The 19,724-nt window shown below is 44.9% G+C and overlaps 1 protein-coding gene and 1 pseudogene across 8 annotated transcripts in view, besides 1 other annotated feature; both read left to right on the top strand.

The window, feature by feature from the left end:
* On the top strand, nucleotides 6,693-7,274 carry RPS10P27 (ribosomal protein S10 pseudogene 27; annotated as a pseudogene).
* Nucleotides 10,419-10,713: a silencer, noted in NCBI's record as "tiled region #8852; K562 Repressive non-DNase unmatched - State 21:Repr". NCBI's record gives its function as "represses a minimal TATA promoter and a strong SV40 promoter by Sharpr-MPRA in K562 cells {active_cell/tissue: K562}" and the evidence as "EXISTENCE:reporter gene assay evidence [ECO:0000049][PMID:27701403]".
* The window catches only part of ANKRD29 (ankyrin repeat domain 29), a 63,986-nt gene continuing 60,828 nt past the window's right edge, over nucleotides 16,567-19,724 (top strand). For all 8 annotated transcript variants that reach the window (XM_017025561.2, XM_011525830.3, NM_001308238.2 and 5 more), the window contains exon 1: nucleotides 16,567-16,768. In XM_017025561.2, the coding sequence (XP_016881050.1) occupies nucleotides 16,748-16,768 (21 nt within the window). In that variant the 5' untranslated portion in view covers nucleotides 16,567-16,747. The remainder of the gene's footprint in view (nucleotides 16,769-19,724) is intronic.

The raw sequence follows: 19,724 nt of genomic DNA, 5'->3' as shown, positions 1-19,724 counted from the left end.
CACCATTAGCCTGAATTCATCCAGGTATCTACCCTCTGCTACCACTACCTTAGTCCAGACCACAATCGACCATGCCAGAATTATCTCTATAGCTTCCCTACTGCTTTCTCTGCCTCCATTTTCTCTTCCTTACAATCGGTCCTGCACATTAAAGAAAGAGCAGCATGATATGCCAGCTGAAGAGGTATGTGTTGCCACCTCTTCCTCCAGCCTACCATGTCAATCCAAGCTCGACTGCTCGGCTTTCGCAGCCTCTAGATTTGGTCTCCTCATCCTCCTCAGCGTACTTCTTTGTCCCTACCCCTGAATACCACTCTTCTTCTCATGATCAGGGCTGCCTCCTCGTGTCAAATGAGATATCAAATTCTGTCCATTGCATTTCCTAAGTAGTTCTCAAGTTAGTCTTCCCAACTACTTTAATTTGATATTAATTCTCACCTGAATTGTTACCAAGTCTTCTATCTTCTTCTGGTCTTGTCCTCATCCAATCCATTTTCCATATGGCTGCCAGAGGGATTTTTCTAGAGTCAACCTGTCCAATATGGCAGCCAAGAGCCACATCTGGATATCTAAATTTAAATTTAAAAATTAAAAATTCCGTTCCTCTGTCACACTGGCCACATCTCAAGTGCTTAGCAGCCTCATGTGATTATCGGTTATCATGTTCAATAGAAAAGATTATAGAACATTTTATCATTGCTGAAAGTTCTATGGAACAGTGCTTTTCTATAATGTAAATTTGATCATATCTCTACTGTGCTTAACACACACAGTAGAAGTGTGTGTTAAGTAAAGTGGAAGACTTTATTCTTCCACTTAGAATAAAGTCGTTTTAGTAGAAGGGTTCATATGTTGACCTTAGCCTTCTTCTGCCCTATATCCTTCACCTGCCTGCATTGTATCCTATTTTCCAGTTTTATCAAACTATTCCCCAACCCACAATGTGTCATCGTGACTTTGCACACGGCCATGCCTCTGCTAGGGTTGCCCTTCTCCATCTTAGCCACTTGTATCACCCCAAACCATTCTCCCAAATTCACTTCAGGCATTGCCTCATTTGGCAGATATGATGGTGAATTTTATGTGTCAGCTTGACTGGGCTAAGGGATGCCCAGACAGCTGGTAAAGCCTTATTTCTGGGCATGCCTGTGAGGATGTTTCTGGAAGAGGTTAGCATTTAAAACAGTAGACTGAGTAAAGAAGATCTGCCCTCACCCATGTGAGCAGGCACCATCCAATCCATTGAGGGCTCAGGTAGAACAGAAATGCAAAAGAAATGTGACCGTGCTGTCTCTTCTTGAGCTGGGTCATCCATTGTCTTCTACCTTCAGACATCAGAGCTCCTGGTTCTGCAACCTTCAGACTCCAGGATTTACACCAGTGGCTCCTCACCCTCACCCCATTCTCAGGCTTTTGGTCCTGAAGAGAGTTACACAGTTGGCTCCCCTGGTTCTCAGAAATTTGGACTTGGACTGAATCACACACTAGCTTCCCTGGTTCTCCAGCTTGCAGGTGGCATATTGAGGGACTTTCTGATCTCCATTGCATGAGCCAGTTCCTATAATAAATCCATATATATAGATTTAGATAGATAGATTTATCATTTTTATACGGAAGAGTGTATATATATATATAAGTGTACGTGTGTGTATATATATATACATATATATACACGCACACACATATACATGCACACACACACATACGCACACTTCTGTTTCTCTAGAGAACCCTGACTAATACAGTAGGCTCTCCGTGGCCCTGCCCCAGATTCTCCCCTCTTTCTCAGAGTTGGCCATTCCTGCCATTGAGCTCGCATAACATACTATTCAGGCCTCCCTGGTAGTGCTTTTATCTGCCTACTTACTAGACCATGAGCTCCTTCGGGGCAGGCACCATGTTTCATTTATTTTGTAGCCCTATGATCTAGCAGAATGTCTGGCACAGGAGTAGGTACTTAAATATTTATGGTATGAAAGAAGCGGCGGAGCCTAGAAAAGAGGCGGTGTTCTTTCTTCCCCGGTCTTCAGCACCTCATATCTGGGAGGATTTGCTGTTCCAAATGCCATTACTTCTCCTCCCATTCTGCACAACTCTTTAGCTGTCATCCTCTCCCAGTGCAGTTGATTGTTGCCCATGGCCACATTGTTGGTTACAAAGACAAGGAAGACCAGGCAGATACTGAAAACTTGAGTTACAAGAGCCCTGTCTTCTCCAACAACAAGGATCAGGTTTGAGAAAGTCTAATCACCTTTCTTTAAGCAGCTGATTTCCCTTGATATCTGTGTTCATGAGGCCATTGTCTTCTACCCCTGAGAGGAGGCCCAGAAGAGCCAGATGGTTGCTGTAGTCAAGTGTATATGCTCAGATTTGGACTATTAATGCCTTATTACATCTCTTAGACCATGTGTTGAAGGCCTCATCAGAATAGGTCATGACTAGAAGTCTGAAATTCTTTACTACTTTACATTCTGTATGATATGATTTAGCACTTTGTTATATTCTGTCTTACAGTATTTCCAACATTATTTTTACTATTTATATTCTCCAACTCCATTGTAGGTACCCTGCATGCAAGAAAAATGCATCTTCCACACTACTTTGCATAGTGATAATTACTCAATCGGTGCTTAATAAATATGGATAGGTTGATCAGTTGGCTTGGTTGGTCTAATCTGTGAGTTTATATAGCCCCACAAACCACTAAGAACATTCCCAAAGACTGGTGCTGTTTTACACAACTCTGAAACATCGCTGGTTTTCTAGGTAACCTGATTCTGCCTTATTCAGAAAAGCAGAACTTGCATTTATATAACCTTCAACATTTTCCTATTAGTGTGACAGACTGTTAACATTGTTTGCCCCCAATGAACAATGCCCCTTAGAGTTCATACCCTTGTGTTGTTCCTTCTCACACCGAGGCTGGCCTTGGTCATGTAACTTGCTTTGGCAAATTGGATATTAGCTAGCATGATGTAAGCAGAGGTTTGAAAAGCTCTAGTCCTCTTAGAAATCTCCCTTTTGTTAGTCAGGCATGGTGGCGGGTGCCTGTAATCACAGCTACTTGGGAGGCTGAGGCAGGAGAATCGCTTAAACCCAGGAGGCAGAGGTTGCAGTGAGCAGGGATTGCACCACTGCACTCCAGCCTGGGCAACAGGAGCGAAACTCTGTGTAAAAAAAAAAAAAAAAGAAAGAAAAGAAAAAAATCTCCCTTTTGGAACTCAGATTCCATGCTGTAAGGAAGTCCAACTACTGCTAGAGAAAAAAAGTATGTAGAAAGAGGTCCTGGAGTATGTGAGACCACACAAGACGTGGCAAAGTAAAGCCGTCTTGGATGTTACAGTCCATTCAAGCCCTCAGATGATGGTACCTGCATGACAGACTTCCAGGCAAGACCAGCAGAACTGCCCAGCTGCCTAGATTGCTGAATCATGAGCAAATGAATAGTTATTGTGTTAAGCCACTGGTTTTGAAGGTGGTCTATTATGCCACAATAGACAACCAAAACACTCGAAATCTTGATTGCTTGAGCCCAAGAGGTCAAGGCTACAGTGAGCTATGATCACTCCACTGCACTCCAGCCTGGGCAACAGAGTGAGACTCTGTCTCAAAAAAGAAAAAAGTCTTGCCTCTTCTTCCTAATCACCAGCATGAGCTGATTAATATCACCTATGTGTAGGTTGCATTTTTAAATGCTTTAATGCATCATAAGTGAAATACAAAATATTCTTTCCGATTACTTCTGGACATTTCTGGGAAATTGAGCTTTTAGAATTTGACTTTTTTTTTTCTACGTAGTTAGTGTGTTTAAGAAGACAAAATTAAGTTTGTCTCTAATTCTTTTTTTTTCTTATTTTTTGGCTTTTGCTCCTTAGTAAGTATCTAGGGAAAAGTAAAATTTGATCTCTTGAGTCTCATGCCCTGTTTTTTGCATTTGCCAAAATGTTCCATTAACTTCATCCCAAGTTTAAAAAAAGTTTGTGTGAATATGCTTTTTGCCAAAGCATCAAGAATAGTGCCAGAAAGAACAATTCTACAAAAATAGATGTCTTCAGTCTGTATCTATGAGAATTCTACAAGCCAAATACTTTGTAGCTATCTTGTGAGAGTCATAGTTCATAGTTTTTCTCTGAAAGTGGGTTTTGACCATTTATGAATCTTATTTTTTTTATTTTTACAATTTTTTTTCTTTAAGCAGCACCAGGATGAATCTTCCTTTTAAGCATAGCATTGACCTCATTTTTTCCCCTTGGCTATGGGTTATATTTTATATTTTCTCTTTTCATTCTTTATGCACCTTCTATACATTGATCTTAGAAGGAATAATTTCTCCCTTATGTCTAAATTGGAAAAAGCGTGGTTTACCTTGAATGAAGAAGTTTCTTTAATCCTTTCATCAGGTATTGAAAAGTTCACTAATATGGATAAGCAAAAATAATTTAAAAAGGAAAAAAAAACGCCACAAAAGCTAGTTTTTCAGCTGTTGAGATGGTTTCAGAGTGGTCCTGCTTATTTAAAATAAACTGTGACCTCTCAATCAGTGCCAGTGGATGAACTGTTTGTTGTTGCAATGAGAAAAGCACAAAAACTGAAAGTGTTTATAAACTTTTTTAGCAATTTCATATAGCCATGACATCCAACTATGTGATCATCTTTCTCATAACCCAGTTGTACTGTGTATTACAAAATATTTGTCAATTTTCTTTGACTGCATTCAGAGGCCGAGGCAGGAGGATCACTTGAGGTCAGGAGTTTGAGAAAAACTTGGCCAACATAGTGAAACCCTGTCTCTACTAAAAATACAAAAATTGGCCAGGCATGGTGGCAGGCGCCTGTGATCCCAGCTACTTGGGAGGCTGAGGCGGGAGAATCGCTTGAACCCAGGAGGCAGAAGTTGTGGTGAGCCGAGATTGTGCCACTGCACTCCAGCCTGGGCAACAGAGCGAGACCCTGTCTCTAAGAAAAAAAAATTTTTTTTAAATCATTTGTTGGTTATTATTACTTGATAGTTTCTAACCTCATGATGCTCTAATACTATGTTAAATCTTTCCTATTCATTCAACAGTACATATAAGAAATACAAAATATCAGAATTGGGCCAGGTGCAGTGGCTCACACCTATAATTCCAGCACTTAGGGAGCCTAAGACGACAGGATCGCTTGAGCCCAGGAGTTTGAAACAAGCCTGAGCAACATGACTAGACCCCATCTCTACAAAAAATACAAAAATTAGCCAGGGTTGATGGTTTGCGCCTATATTCCCAGCTACTAGCGGGGCTGAAGCAAGAGGATCGGAGCCTGGGAAGTCAAGGCTGCAGTGAGCCATGATCTCATTAGTGCACCCCAGCCTGGGTGATAGAACAAGACCCTGTCTCAAAAAAAAAAAAAAAAAAAAAAAAATCAGAGTTTTACAACCTTTTTTAAAAGGGCATGAAATAACCTGCTTCATTCTCTTGGCTCAGTATGAGTAATTGTACCCAAGTTTAGACAACTCAAAAGAAATGACACATATGCTAAAGTTAAAATTCGTTTCACTTACTCCACAATAGCACCTACTGATTTAGCTGCCTCTGCACAGAGACATGGGTGTAAGGTGGTTGTTTTAATAATATGAATTCAATGTATGGGCTAAATCCATGACTCATGCATTATGAAGAACAAATGCATCTTTGGGTTATTTCAGGTGAAAGCCACTCCCTGCACTTAGTAAGTAAGCCATACTCCTTGAAGTTGTGTATCTTCAAAATTTCTCTCCATCTTACAAGATCGTCACTAACTCAGGTTTTAGGCTAAGGAGGACTAAATGTATATAGCAAGTATTACATCCTTAATGCTTAGGTCTCTTCCTCTCCCATGGCACATCAGCCTCAGGGTAGTCTTGCTGCTGGGTTTCTCTGACATGTGCCCCAGTCCCATTTATTGGGTTATTGCTTCCTTCCCGTGTGAGTTGAAGCAAGCCACTCAGTCTCTCTATGCTTCCAATCCCTCACCTGAAATAAAAAATGATGATAAAGATATTGTGAAGGTTAAATGACATAATGTATGTGAAAGTGTCTGCTGCAGGGCTGGACCTACCACCAGAGTAGAATGGTGGTTGCCAGGGACCAGGAGGTGCAGGAAATGGAGAGATGTTGGTCAAAGGCTGCAAAGTTTCGGCTACCACAGGAACAAGTTCTGGGGTTCTCATGTACAGCATGGATGGTGATGGACGCTTGGATTAATTTGACTATAGTAATCACTACACACTGTATATGCATATCAAATCATCACATAAAACACATTAAATATATTACATCTTTATTTGACAAAAAAATTTTTAAGCCGCAGTTTCTTTTCTTTTTTTTTTTTTTTTTGAGATCGAGTCTCACTCTGTCTGGCAGGCTGGAGCACAGTGGTGTGATCTCAGCTCACTGCAACCTCTGCCTCCTGGGTTCAAGCAATTCTCCTGCCTCAGCCTCCAGAGCTGGGACTACATGTGCGTGCCACCACACCCAGCTAATTTTTTGTATTTTTTTTTAGTAGAGATGGAGTTTCACCATGTTGGCCAGGATGGTCTCTATCTCTTCACCTCGTGATCCGCCCACCTCTGCCTCGCAAAGTGCTGGGATTACAGGCGTGAGCTACCACGCCCGGCCAAGTCTCAGTTTTTTCATGTGAAAAATTTTACCCATGGCATAAGATTTGTAAATACTCTTTCCAGCCTCAACTCCAGACCCTACAGCCACCGAGATGTTGATGCCTAAGAAGAACCAGATTGCCATTTATGAACTCCTTTTTAAGGAGGGAGTCATGGTGACCAAGAAGGATGTCCACATGCCTAGGCACCCAGAGCTCGCAGACAAGAATGTGTCCAACCTTCATGTCATGAAGGCCATGCAGTCTCTCAAGTCCAAAGGCTACGTGAAGGAACAGTTTGCCTGGAGACATTTCTATTGGTAACTTACCAATGACAGTATCCAGTATCTCTGTGATTACCTTCATCTTCCCCTGGAGACTGTGCCTGCCATCCTATGCCGCAGCCGTCCAGAGACTGGCAGGTCTCGGCCTAAAGGCCTGGAGGCTGAGGAACCTGCAAGACTCACAAGAGGGGAAGTCAATAGAGTTACCTACAGACAGAGTGCTGTGCCCCCTGGTTGCCGACAAGAAAGCCAAGGCTGGGGCTGGGTCAGCAACCGAATTTGAGTTTAGGGGCAGATTTGGTCGTGGACGTGGTCAGCCACCTCAGTAAAATTGGAGAGGATTATTTTGCATTGAATAAATTTAAAGCCAAAAAATTTTTTTAAAAAGATCTGTGAATACTGAAGGAAGTAATAATTAGAAAGGGCCAAATGCAATGCTAATACATAGTACGCCTCCAATTAAAGCTAGTGATTGCCTTTATGTGCAGTTCTAGACACAGGTCTTGACCCATTGTGTCTGAATTTCTGTCCAGGAGCCTGCCTGGGATGCCAATTTCTCAGAACCTGGAAGCATTCTTTACATCAGTCCTTAGAGATCCACCTGCTGGCCTCCTGTACTGGACATAGCTCACTGCTCCCCACTTTTTGACCTTGCCAGGGCCCCAGGGTGTTGGAGGGCCTTTCAGGAGTTCCATGGAAGCTGTCACTGCCCTAATCTCCTCTCACCAGCTGGTCTGCCTTGATCACCCTCCCCATACTGTCTTCCCCAGATCCCCCTGGGACACTGAACCAGACTTTAGATTTCTTCATTTCCTGCTCGAAGCTTCCCAGATCCCTGCCCACTCAGTGAGCCTGACTAGCCTCATGATTGAGCAGAGTACTCTGGCCCTTAGGCCACCTGCTGAGCCCCAGCAGGCACAGGACTTGCCTAGGAAAGACTCAGGGCATGCATCCCACCCTGAGATCAGCACATTACAACTGTGTCACAATTCTGGCACCATACTGAAGGTGGATGTTATAAGAACCATTTCGTCCAGAAGGCATGTTTGATCGTGGCTGTTCTGGGAGCTTCTGACATTTCTCTTTCCAGTGAAATCACTTGGATTTCTACCCTACTGTTTCCCACTTCTTGTTCCTTCTCCAGCCCCATTCTACTTGCTGGGGAAACCAAGAATTCTACACCTTCATAGAAGGCATCAAAGCCAATCGTGCCCACTGAAGGGCTGTGGCCTGAGCTTAGTTTGACCCGCATCACTGGGACAGTGGGGGAAGGGGGAGCAGACATCCTGTAAAAGTCCAAGATTCCCTTGTACAACTTCAAAATTCCTGAGGCCCCCCCGACCACACACACACACACACACACACACACACACACACACACACACGATCATTTAATTGAAAACATACATAGACATACACAAAGATGGAGTCATGACCCCTTAGCAATTACTTTCAGGCCCCTCCAAGCCCCATGCTGGGGACCCATAGTGGCAGGTCTTTGCGGGATGGAGGGGAGAAGGTGCTGCCTTCAGTGAAGCTGTGATAGTTGTTCTACCAGGCAATACTCCTCCCGTGAAAATAGGATGATGTCCTTTATTGTCACTTGCCCTGGGACCTCACTTGGAAGCTGGTGGCCACATGCCTTAGATTTCTGAATATGAGAAGAACCGCACAAACACAGGCTCCCAATCTCGTTAGAGGAAAGTGCCTCAGAAACTTTGGTTTCATATTTGAGAGGTTTGTGGCTCCTCAGATAATCTGTGAGGATTCATTTATTCATTCACTTATTCGGAAATGCTCAGTGAACACCAACAATGTGCTAGGCTCTGGACTTGGCATCGGGGCTGCCAAAAGGAGGCACACACAGCTTCTGCTCCCATGTGGCTCACCATCTGATGTTCAGCCCACTGAGGTCCCTGCAAATCTAAGCTGCCATATTACCTCTAAGCTGTGAGAAGCCCACTAAGGAAGCCTCACTGAAAGAATGAGGCTCCAGCCACACTTGAGATGTACACTGTAATCTGGTATATTATATATAGTTTGTGATATTACTATAGAATTGCCAAACAGGGCCCCAAAAGTCAAATGTTAATAAAAATGTTACTTTCTGCATTTCAGCCATGGGGGCAGGAGATCCGTTTTTGCCATAAACAAAATTAAGTTTGCATTCCACTCTTGCTCCCATGTAAAGCGGTGAGACAATTTCCATAGCACAGGAGTCTTTTTGTCCATTTTCCCTAATGATTGAACTCAGCTTTTTTGGCTTCTTGGTTTTGGCTCAATTAAAGATTAAATGAAACAAGTGCCAATTGGCAAATAATTGAGAACTAAGTCTGTGTGTACGTATCTCCTACATTTTACCCCATATGGTTTTAGCAACTTGGCAGTAAAATCTAAGGACTGGTACATCAACTAGACAGAATTCAGAGTCCCCAGTACATTCAAAGATACTGCTCTTGTGTGAATACTTGGAACCCTCAGCAGAATGTCGAAGGCAGCTTCACTTAGGAGACGCCTCCTCTGGGCCCATTCATAATAGATGCTTCTATTCCCAAGGGCCAGATTAGTGATAGGGTACTTTCCAACCATTAGCCCAGACTCTCCTTAAACAAAGGTTGGAAGCTGAGAGTTACACAATAATGCTAAATATCCAAATGAAAATCAAACACTCAGGCAACAGCTAGATGTCTGGCCAGGGACTGAAGGCTCCTTAAGGCTGGCATTTTTACACCTGTGCCTTGTCCACTGGGTCACAGATGAGGCTCCCAGAAATCCTGCCATGTATTCAGGGCTCATCACTGCATGTTTTAAACTGCAAAGCATCTGATGGAGCAATGCTAAGGGCAACTGACCCTAATGGAGCATCGTCCATTCCATCACTAGAGTGAAGGAAATCTAACACTTTGTTAAATCACTGTGATGGATAATAAAAGCAAAATTACTAGCGCATCTGAGGCCAGGTGCAGTGGCTCATGCCTGCAATCCCAACACCTTGAGAGGCTGAGGTGGGAGGATGGCTTGAAGCCAAGAGTCTAGATCCTCCTGGGCAACATAGTGAGACCCTATCTAAAAAAGAAAAAAGAAAAGAAAAGAAGGAAGGAAAAGAAAGGAAAGGAAAGAAAGGAGAGGAGGAAAGGAGACGAGGAACGACGGAAGGAGAGAGAGAGGGAGGGAGGGAGGAAAGAAGGAAAGAAGGAAGGAAGGAAGGAAGGAAGGAAGGAAGGAAGGAAGGAAGGCAGGCAAAAATTAGCCAGGCATGGTGGTTTGCACCTAAACTTCCGGCTATTCAGGAGACTGAGGCGGGAGGATCCTTTGTGCCCAGGAATTCAAGGCTTCAGTGAGCTATGATTATGCCACTGCACACTACAGTCTGCACGACAGAGCGAGACCCTATCTCTTAAAAAATAAAAATAAAAATAAATGAAAAGAATATACCAAAAAGCAAACAGTAAAAAAAGACCTAGATGGTTATTGGCTACTTGGAGGATCATTGGGCCATTTTGTAGAGTTCCTCCATGTCAGTGTGGGACTCCTCCTCCCCAGGGAAAAGAAGGAAGTGCAGTGGAACCTTCACTTAAAGCCAAGCCGGGACCAGCCTTCCATGGGCCAGGGCACCCTGCCAGGTGGCAACATTCGGATGCCCCACCCAAAAGAAGAGACTGCTTCAGCAAGCAAGCAAGGATTTACAAGACTGTTAGCAGTGAACCAAAGAACAATAGAAAAATGTTAAGCAAATGAGATCCCCGCTGCAGGAAGCCTCATTTCCCGAGTAGCTGGAACTATAGCCTGGCTAATTTTTTGTATTTTTTTTTTTTTTAGTAGAGGTAGGGTTTCATCATGTTGCCCAGGCTGGAAGTGTAGAGGTTTTTTTGTTTGTTTTTGTTTTTTCTGAGATGCAGTCTCGCTCTGTCACCCAGGCTAGAGTACAGTGGTGCGATCTCGGCTCACTGCAACCTCCACCTCCTGGGTTCAAGAAATTCTTCTGCCTCAGCCACCTGAGTAGCTGGGACTACAGGTGCGCATCACCACACCCAGCTAATTTTGTGTATTTTTAGTAGAGACGGGGTTTCACTGTGCTGCCCAGGCTGGTCTCAAACTCCTGAGCTCAGGCAACCTGCCCTCCTGGGCCTCCCAAAGTGCTTAGATTACAGGGGTGAGCCACCGTAGAAGAGTAATAAAAGAATATTTTTTCTTGGATGGTAGAATTTCAGGGTTCCAAAAGATGCTTTCCATCTTAGGGTTTTCAATGATGCTAAAAAATTGGGCGGCAGAACTTTACACATCGTCTAGTTTCCTCTGGTTTTCAATGTGCCTCGCTGGGTGTGTGTCATTACAATAAGCAGAAATGCCTTTAGTGAAGGCTGGCTGAGTAGAGTTATTTTTAATAATAAAAATGAAAATCTACATAAAGGTTTTATAAAAGAAGAAAGGTTGAATAAATTATAGTATATGCAATATAACTGCAGCCATAAGAGATGGATTTTGCTGGGCATGGTGGTTCATTCATGCCTGTAATCCCAGCACTTTGGGAGGCCGGCGGGGGGGGTGGATCATCTGAGGTCAAGAGCTCGAGACCAGCCTGACCAATATGATGAATCCCCGTCTCTACTAAAAATACAAAAATTAGCCGGGTGTGGTCGCATGTGCCTGTAATCTCAGCTACTCGGGAGGCTGAGACAAGAGAATCACTTGAACCTGGGACGGGGAGGTTGCAGTGAGCCAAGATCATGCCCTTGCACTCCAGCCTGGGCAACAAGAGCGAAACTTCATCTCAAAATAAATAAATAAATAAATTACAGATTTTCAGAGAACTGTTAATGCTAGGAGGAAATGCTCACATTATCATGCTTTGTAAAGAGCAGAATATACATATTCCCATTATGTTACTGTATGCTTAAGAAAGATTGTGAGCTGGGCACGGTGGCTCACACCTGTAATCCCAGCACTTTGGGAGGCTGAGGCGGGCAGATCAAGAAGTCAGGAGTTTGAGACCAGCATGGACAACATGGTGAAACCCTGTCTCTACTAAAAGTACAAAAATTAGCCAGGCGTGGTGGCATGAGCCTGAAATCCCAGCAACTCAGGAGACTGAGGCAGGAGAATCTCTTGAACCCAAGGAGGCAGAGGTTGCAGTGAGCTGAAATAATGCCATTTCACTCCAGCCTAGGCAACAAGATCGAAACTTCATCTCAAAGAAAAAAGAAAGAAATAAGAATTCCCCATTGGTCAACACAGGGCCTTAGTGACACCATGGTCTGCTCTGCCACCTTCAGGGGGTAGTTTTCCTTATGGTCACAAGGTGTCTGCAGTCATTCCAGGCATTGTACTTGTACAGTACAGTGTCCCAAGGAATAAGGACCATCTTCTCCTGGGTATGTCTTACAACCAAGGAAATCTTTCTCAAAAGCCCCCAACACACCTCCTCTGACATCTCAAAGATCAGAATTTGTCACCTGCCCACACCTAATTCAAGCACTATCACCAGCCTAAACAAGAGGACTTTGGATGGAACAAAGGGCTATGTTCCCCTTAAGCAAATCTCCAGGGGGAGTATGATGGACAAAACTGAGCAAAACTGACATTCTGATAGGGAAAGGAAGGGAGCAATGGGTGTTGGGTAGATTACTCCAAGCTGTGTCTGCTACAGTCCCCACTGCAAGAAGCCTCATCTAGGGTAAATTCCAATAGGTTAGGAGAGACGGAGCTAACTAGCTGGGAGATGTGAGGTGGAAGCTGGGCATAGTGGCATGCACCTGTAATCCCAGCACTTTGGGAAGCTGACAGGGAGGATCACTTGAGCCTATGACTTAATGACCAGCTTGGGCAATATAGTGATGCCCCATCTCTAAAAAATAAAATTAAATAAAAATTAAAAATTAAACAAGGGCTGGGCATGGTGGCTCATGCCTGTAATCCCAGCACTTTGGGAGGCTGAGGTGGGAGGATGGCTTGAGGCCAGGAGTTCAAGACCAGCTTGAACAACATAGCGAGATCCTATCTGTAAAAAAATGTTTTTAAAAATTAGACGGTATAGTGGCATGTGCCTGTAGTCCTAGCTACTCAGAAGGCAGAGGCATTAGGATTGCTTGAGCCCAGGAATTCCAGGCTGCAGTGAGCTGTGATCCTGCCACTGCACTCCAGCCTGGGTGACAGAGACCCTATCCTTATAAAAAATAAATAGATACAAAAATTTTAAAAGATGTGGGATGGGGAAGTAGACAGAGAATAAAGACAGAAAAGATGTCCAGCATGAACTCTTAGTTGGATGAAGGAGCCTGATTACAAAAAGGGTGTTAGAAAGCTCAGTAGGCTGGGCGCAGTGGCTCATGCCTGTAATCCCAGCACTTTGGGAGGCAGAGGCTGGCAGATCACGAGGTCAAGAGTTTGAGACCAGCCTGGCCAACATGGTGAAACCCCGTCTCTACTAAGAATACAAAAATTAGCCGGGTTTGGTGGCCTGTGCCTGTAATCCCTGCTACTCAGGAGGCTGAGGCAGGTGAATCGCTTGAACCCGGGAGGTGGAGGTTGCAGTGAGCCAAGATCATGCCACTGCACTCCAGCCTGGGTAACAGACCAAGACTCCGTCTTGAAAAAAAGAAAGAAAGAAAAAAGAAAAAAAAAAGAAAGCTCAGTAGACCAGATTGACCTACTTCTCAATTCTGTCGAGGGCAAATCCTGTTGGACCATCAACTGGGACAGTGCAAAATAGAGGCCAAACACATCAAGGTCTGTGCTGGTGTGAACAGAAGGTGACAATGACTATGGACTCATTTGAGATCAACACAGATGTCTGTGCATCTGAGTAATGCATGTCTGTGGATAAGAGTGGGCCTTCTGACTTGGTAGATTTGGATAACACAACCCCCTGACTCTTTTACTAATTCAATGATGAATAAGTTTTGACCATCTACCATGCCTCCAGCCGTAAATTAGCCCCTGGGGAAAATAAAAGATACATAAGACACAGGGCCTGGCCTTGAAGAATTTCAACTCTGCTGAAGAAATCAAAAGCAACAGAAGTAGAACTGAGAGCAATACCAGACCCTGTGGAATCAGGGTTGAGGGATGTGGTGTAGAGCAGAACCATGGCAAGAGCTCAGCAAAGTTGGGAGGAAGATGACTGAGAACCAGGGTGTAGGAAGAGGAACTTGAGCTGGGGGTAACACCCTGGGTAGGTTGGGATTTGGCAGACAAAAGAGAGGAGATGAAAGAGAGCCGTAGTGGGAAGAGAGCAGTGATAAGATTTTGGAGCTAGACAAACGCCTAGCTCTATCACTTATTAGCAAATTATTCCATTTTCTCAGAATTTTACTTTTTTCATCTATGGAATAGGTATAATACCTACCTCATAAAATGTTTATAAGGAAAGCACCTTGTACCTAGAAAACACTCAAAATATTAGTTTTTTCCTTTATCCCTTTTGTTTGACAGGATGACAAGGATGGAGAGGCTCTGTTTGGGTAGTGAGAAGATGTTTGGATAAGAAAACTGGGCCGTGCAGATTAAATCTTGTATTAGGTCCAGTGGGTCACTATTAAAGTTTGGAGTGGACCATTTTAGAAAGAATTGCCTGTTGTGACCATGAGAGCTTTGTTCCATTTCAGAGCTGTTTATATGAAGATGAGTTTAACCGCGTGTGTCAGACGGTGTTAGGCACGTTCTTTCCAGAGACTGACAAGAATCCCATCAGCACCCTGGCCAGAGAAAAGCAGCTTTGAGCTCAAGTGTAACGGAAAGGAAACAGGCTTTGGAGCTAGACAAACACCTAGCCCTATCACTTATTAGCAAATTACTCCAATCTCTCAGAATCTTAGTTTTTTCATCCGTGGAATGGGTTAATACTCACCCCATAAAATGTTTATAAGGAAAGCACCTTGTACCTAGAAAACACTCAAAATATTAGTTCTTTCCTTTCTCCCTTTTATTTATCAAAACTATTAAAGCAGACCAGGCGCGGTGGCTCACGTTTGTAATCCTAGCACCTTGGGAGGCCGAACCAGGTGGATCACCTGAGGTCAGTAGTTCGAGACCAGCCTGGCCAACATGGCGAAACCCTGTCTCTACTAAAAATACAAAAATTAGCTGGGCACGGTGACAGGAGCCTATAATACCAGCTACTCGAGAGGCTGAGGCAGGAGAATTGCTTGAACCCGGGGGGTGGAGGTTGCAGTGAGCCAGGATCATGCCACTTCACTTCAGCCTGGGCAAAAGAGCGAAACTCCATCTGAGAAGAAAAAACAAACAAACAAACAAAAAACTATTAAAGCAAAACCTCTGATGCTTGATTTTTATATAATAACGTTGTGTGGCAACTTAAAAACTGTGTCATTTATAGGCACTCAAGGCAAGGAAAATGTTTAGAGTCCTTATTTTTAAAATTGGAATTTTCTATAAAAGTTCAGAATGTTTTTAATTTAAAGTTGTTTTAAGCACAAAGTAATACAATTTATCCATGAAGGTTAAACATTTTAATTTTTATCATTAACTTTTATTTGTAATTGTTTTCTACCTTTTAAATTAAATATTCGTTACAAATTTAATTGAGAAGAGGGAAGGAGGGGGAGAATGAATGAGTGGATTCTTATAGTTTGAGGGGGTAAGACCTCCATTTTTATACTATTTTTTTGTTTTGTTTTTATTTTTATTTTTGAGGCAGAGTCTTGCTCTGTTGCCCAGGCTGGAGTGCAGTGACCGAATCTTGGCTCACTGCAGCCTCAACCTCCCAGGTTCAAGCGATCCTCCCACCTCAGCCTCCCGAGTAGCTGGGACTACAGGTGCGCACCACCACGCCTGGCTAATTTTTGTATTTTTAGTAGAGATAGAGTTTTGCCATGTTGGCCAGTCTGATCTCGAACTCCTGGACTCAAGTGATCTGCCCGCCTTTGGCCTCCCAAAGAGTTGGGATTATAGGCGTGAGCCACTATGCCTGGGCTACTTTTTTACTTTCACTTTTCTAAAATGCTCTCAAAGAGCTGTTGTTGCCGTTTATACTTAAAACTCCCAGTTTTACTTCGCCCAAACCAATCCTGGGCAGGCAGCAGGAGTGGACACACATACTGCAATACTCCAGGGCTGCAGCATCAGACCCAGAGGAGGAGGGAACTGCTGGATTAATAACGCGGAGGAGGAGGAGGGGTATGAGTCTATTCCAAAATTGGCCTTTGCCCTTCAAAGAGGAAAAGACCACTTATTGTTTGTGCAATCAAAAGGTTTGTTTCCTAGATATTTTCCCCAGGAGAAAAAAGTTTCCCAGGAAACCGAGAAAGAAATTATAACGAAAATAGCTATTGGATGAATTTTTTCCTCAAGCTTCATTTTTACATCATTATAATATTTGTGCTGTAATGAAGGTTGGGAGTCCTCTGGGGCAGACCAGTCTATTTGGGAGGATATGTATGGAGTTTGTGTGTGAGTACATGCGGGTGAGTGGGCGTGAGTGTGGAAAGTATGTGTGTGGAACCTCTGTGTGTGTGGAATGTGGAGCGTATGCACAATGTGTGTGGAGTTTGGAGTGTGTGTGTGGACGAGTGAGTGTGGAAGTGTGGACGTGTGTGGAAAGTGCACAGTGCGTGCGGAGTTTGGGGTGTTTGTGCACGCGCGTGTGTGGCAGGTCCTGGAGCGCGTCCACGCGACACCCCATGTGTAGTGTGCGCGCGCGCGCGCCCCCGCGCCGCCCCTTCGGCCCGGCCCTGTGTGCGGCGGCTGCTGCCGGGCCGGGCGGCGGGAGCGCGCGGCGTCGGAGGCCGCCCCTCTGCGGAACGCCGAGAGCCCCGGGAGAGTGAAGGGCCGGGGAGGACAAGGCGCCCCGGGCCCAAAGCGCGCCGGCTCCCGCTCGGGCGGCCGCGGACATGTGCAGGATGTCCTTCAAGGTGAGCGACCGGGACTCCGGGGTCAGGGCTGGGGCCGGGCTCGGGCGGCCGGGCCCGCGGGGTCGGGTGGGGTGGGATGGGGTGGGATGGGGTGGGCGCTGCCCGCTGCCCGCCGCCTCCTCCTTCCTCTCTCCTCCAGCTGCGGGCGAGGCCCGGGAGGAAGCGGCGGGGCTGGGTGCGCCCTGTGGGTTTGCGGTTTGCCTGCCTGCCCTGCCTGAGAGGCTTCGCACTCATGGCTGTGGATCGGCTGAGTCTGTGCCCGGCGACGGGGCGGCGGGGACTGTCGCCGGGTAACAGGTCGGGGGCGGGTAAGAAGCCTGGGGTCAGCGCTGTCCTGCAGCAGAAGGAGTCCCCGACCCTGACCCTCTGGGTCCTCATGCAGGAGTACCAGCTGCACCCACGGATGCCTCCTCCCCGGAGGGGTGGCCAGCACCCAGGGAGGCTTCAGGGTCCAAAGGTGTCTTGTCTCAAAAGAGTTGATTAAAGTCATTCCATCTAATCCCCACATTTTAGGATGAAAGAGGTTGATTTGCCTCGATTGAAAGGGTTTAATAAAAATAGCAGTTAAAATGTATTAAACAGTTCAAATGTGCCTGACTCTGAACCAAGGACATGGTGTGTATGGTCTCAACCCTGGGGGAGACCTGTGGGAGGTGCTCTTCGTGGCTCTTTTTTTTTTTTTTTTCAAATGAGAAAACTAAGATATAGAGAAATTAACTCACCCACGGTTTTGCAGCCAATAAGTTATGGTGTTAAGACTGAAACCCAAGTGTGTCTGACTCCTAAGCCACTGTAATCCCGTTGCCGACAATAGCTCATGTAAGCAGAGGAGTGACATGGCGAGATGTGCATGTTGCAAAGATCTCTGGCTAGGTTTGGAGAAGAGGGTTGGAGCTGGAAGATGTTGTCATCTTTTTAAGAAATGGTACTGGACCAGTGCATAGGTGGTGAGAATGGAACGAAGCAGACGAATGTGAATGACTTTAAAGTTTTTTTTCCTGAGACGGAGTTTTGCTCTTGTTGCCCAGGCTGGAGTGCAATGGTGTGATCTCAGCTCACTGCAACTTCCGCCTCCCGGGTTCAAGCTATTTCTCCTTCCTTACCCTCCAGAGTAGCTGGGATTACAGGCGTGCGCCACCATGCCCAGCTAATTTTTTCGTATTTTTAGTAGAGACGGGGTTCTGCCATGTTGGCGAGGCTGGTCTCGAACTCCTGACCTCAGGTGATCCACCCTCCTTGGCCTCCCAAAGTGCTGGGGTTAAAGGCGTGAGCCACTACGCCCGGCCGACTTTAAAAGTTTTAAATCGGCATAATTCAGTAGGGAAGGCAAGAGAGATAAAGATAAAACGTTTGGTTTGGGATAAATTTTGAGGATAGATGGGAATCCAAGCAGAGATGTTGATTAGACAGATATACTCTCCTCGATCCCAGGAGGCAAGTCTGGGCAGCAGCTAGAGATGAGATTTAGGAGTCAGCAGTGTTAAGTAGGCACCCATGGGAATGAACATGATTGCCCAGTGGAACCATATAAAGGTGGAAAATAAGAGGACTGAGGACAAAATCTTGAAGAAGATTTGAGAAAGAGCAGCCAGAGACGAATGAGAAAACTCAGAAGCATGTGCTGTCACTTACACCAAGCATCTCTAATCTTTCAACAAAGATGAAGAGGACCTTGATGTTTATTAATGCCACAGGGAAATCAAATAAACAAAGAATTGAAAAGTCCATTGGATTTAGTGACGGAATAGGCACTGGTGACCTTGCCAAGAGCACTTTCAGTGGTGTTAGGATCAGGAGCCAGATTGCAATAGCTTGAAAGAGAGTGGGTAGAATCCACAAGTGTGGAGAACTCTTTCAAGAAATTCTGCAAGAAACAGATTTTTGTTAGTTTGTTTGTTTGTTTGGACAAAGTCTTGCTCTTGTCACCCAGGCTAGAGTGCAGTGGCGCAATCTTGGCTCACTGCAACCTCTGCCTCTCGGGTTCAAGCGATTCTCCTGGCTCAGCCTCCTGAGTAGCTGGGATTACAGGTGCCTGACACCAAGCCCAGCTAATTTTTTGTAATTTTAGTAGAGACGGGGTTTCGCCATGTTGGCCAGCCTGGTCTCGAACTCCTGACCTCACGTGATCGCCCGCCTCAGCCTCCCAAAGTGCTGGGATTAGAGGCATGAGCCACGGCACCCAACCCAGAGATTCTTTTTAAAAGGCAGTGGCTGCAGCAAGGATCTGGAATTGACCAAGTGTTTGTTTGCTTTAAAATGGTAGAGACTTGAGCATCTTTAAATGATGATAGGCACTTCAACAATAAAAAGACAAATAAAGCCTAATTTTAAAGTGGACATATGAATAGACATTTCTCCCAAGAAGTTTACAAATGGCCCGTAAGCACCTGAAAAGATGCTTAACATTATTAGCCATGGTCTTGGAAATGCAAATACAAAACTGTAATGAGATACCACTTCATACCCGCTAGGATGGCTTTAATCAGCAAGACAATGACGAATGTTGGCAAGGATGTGGAGAAATTGAATCTGCATGCATTGCTGGTAGGAGTATGAAGTGATGCAGTCATTTTTATTTATTTATTTTATTTATTTTTTTGAGACAGAGTCTCACTCTGTCAGCCAGGCTGGAGTGCAATGGCATGATCTCAGCTCACTGCAACTTCTGCCTCCCGGGCTCAAGCAATTCTCCTGCCTCAGCCCCCCGAGTAGCTGGGATTACAGGCATGTGCCACCACGCCCGGCTAATTTTTGCATTTTTAGTAGAGACGGGGTTTCACCATGTTGGCCAGGCTGGTCTTGAACTCCTGACCTCAGGTAATCTGCCTGCCTCGGGCTCCCAGAGTGCTGGGATTATAGGCGTGGGCCACCGCGCCTGGCCGATGCAGTCATTTTTAAAACCATGCTTGTCTTTCTTCAAAAAGTTTTTTTTGTTTGTTTGTTTTTTGTTTTTTTT

Source organism: Homo sapiens, chromosome 18 (genome assembly GCF_000001405.40).
Source record: "Homo sapiens chromosome 18, GRCh38.p14 Primary Assembly".
Classification (NCBI taxonomy): Eukaryota; Metazoa; Chordata; class Mammalia; order Primates; family Hominidae; genus Homo; species Homo sapiens.
Note: the sequence above shows the minus strand (reverse complement) of the source record. Positions and strands in the feature narration are given on the sequence as shown.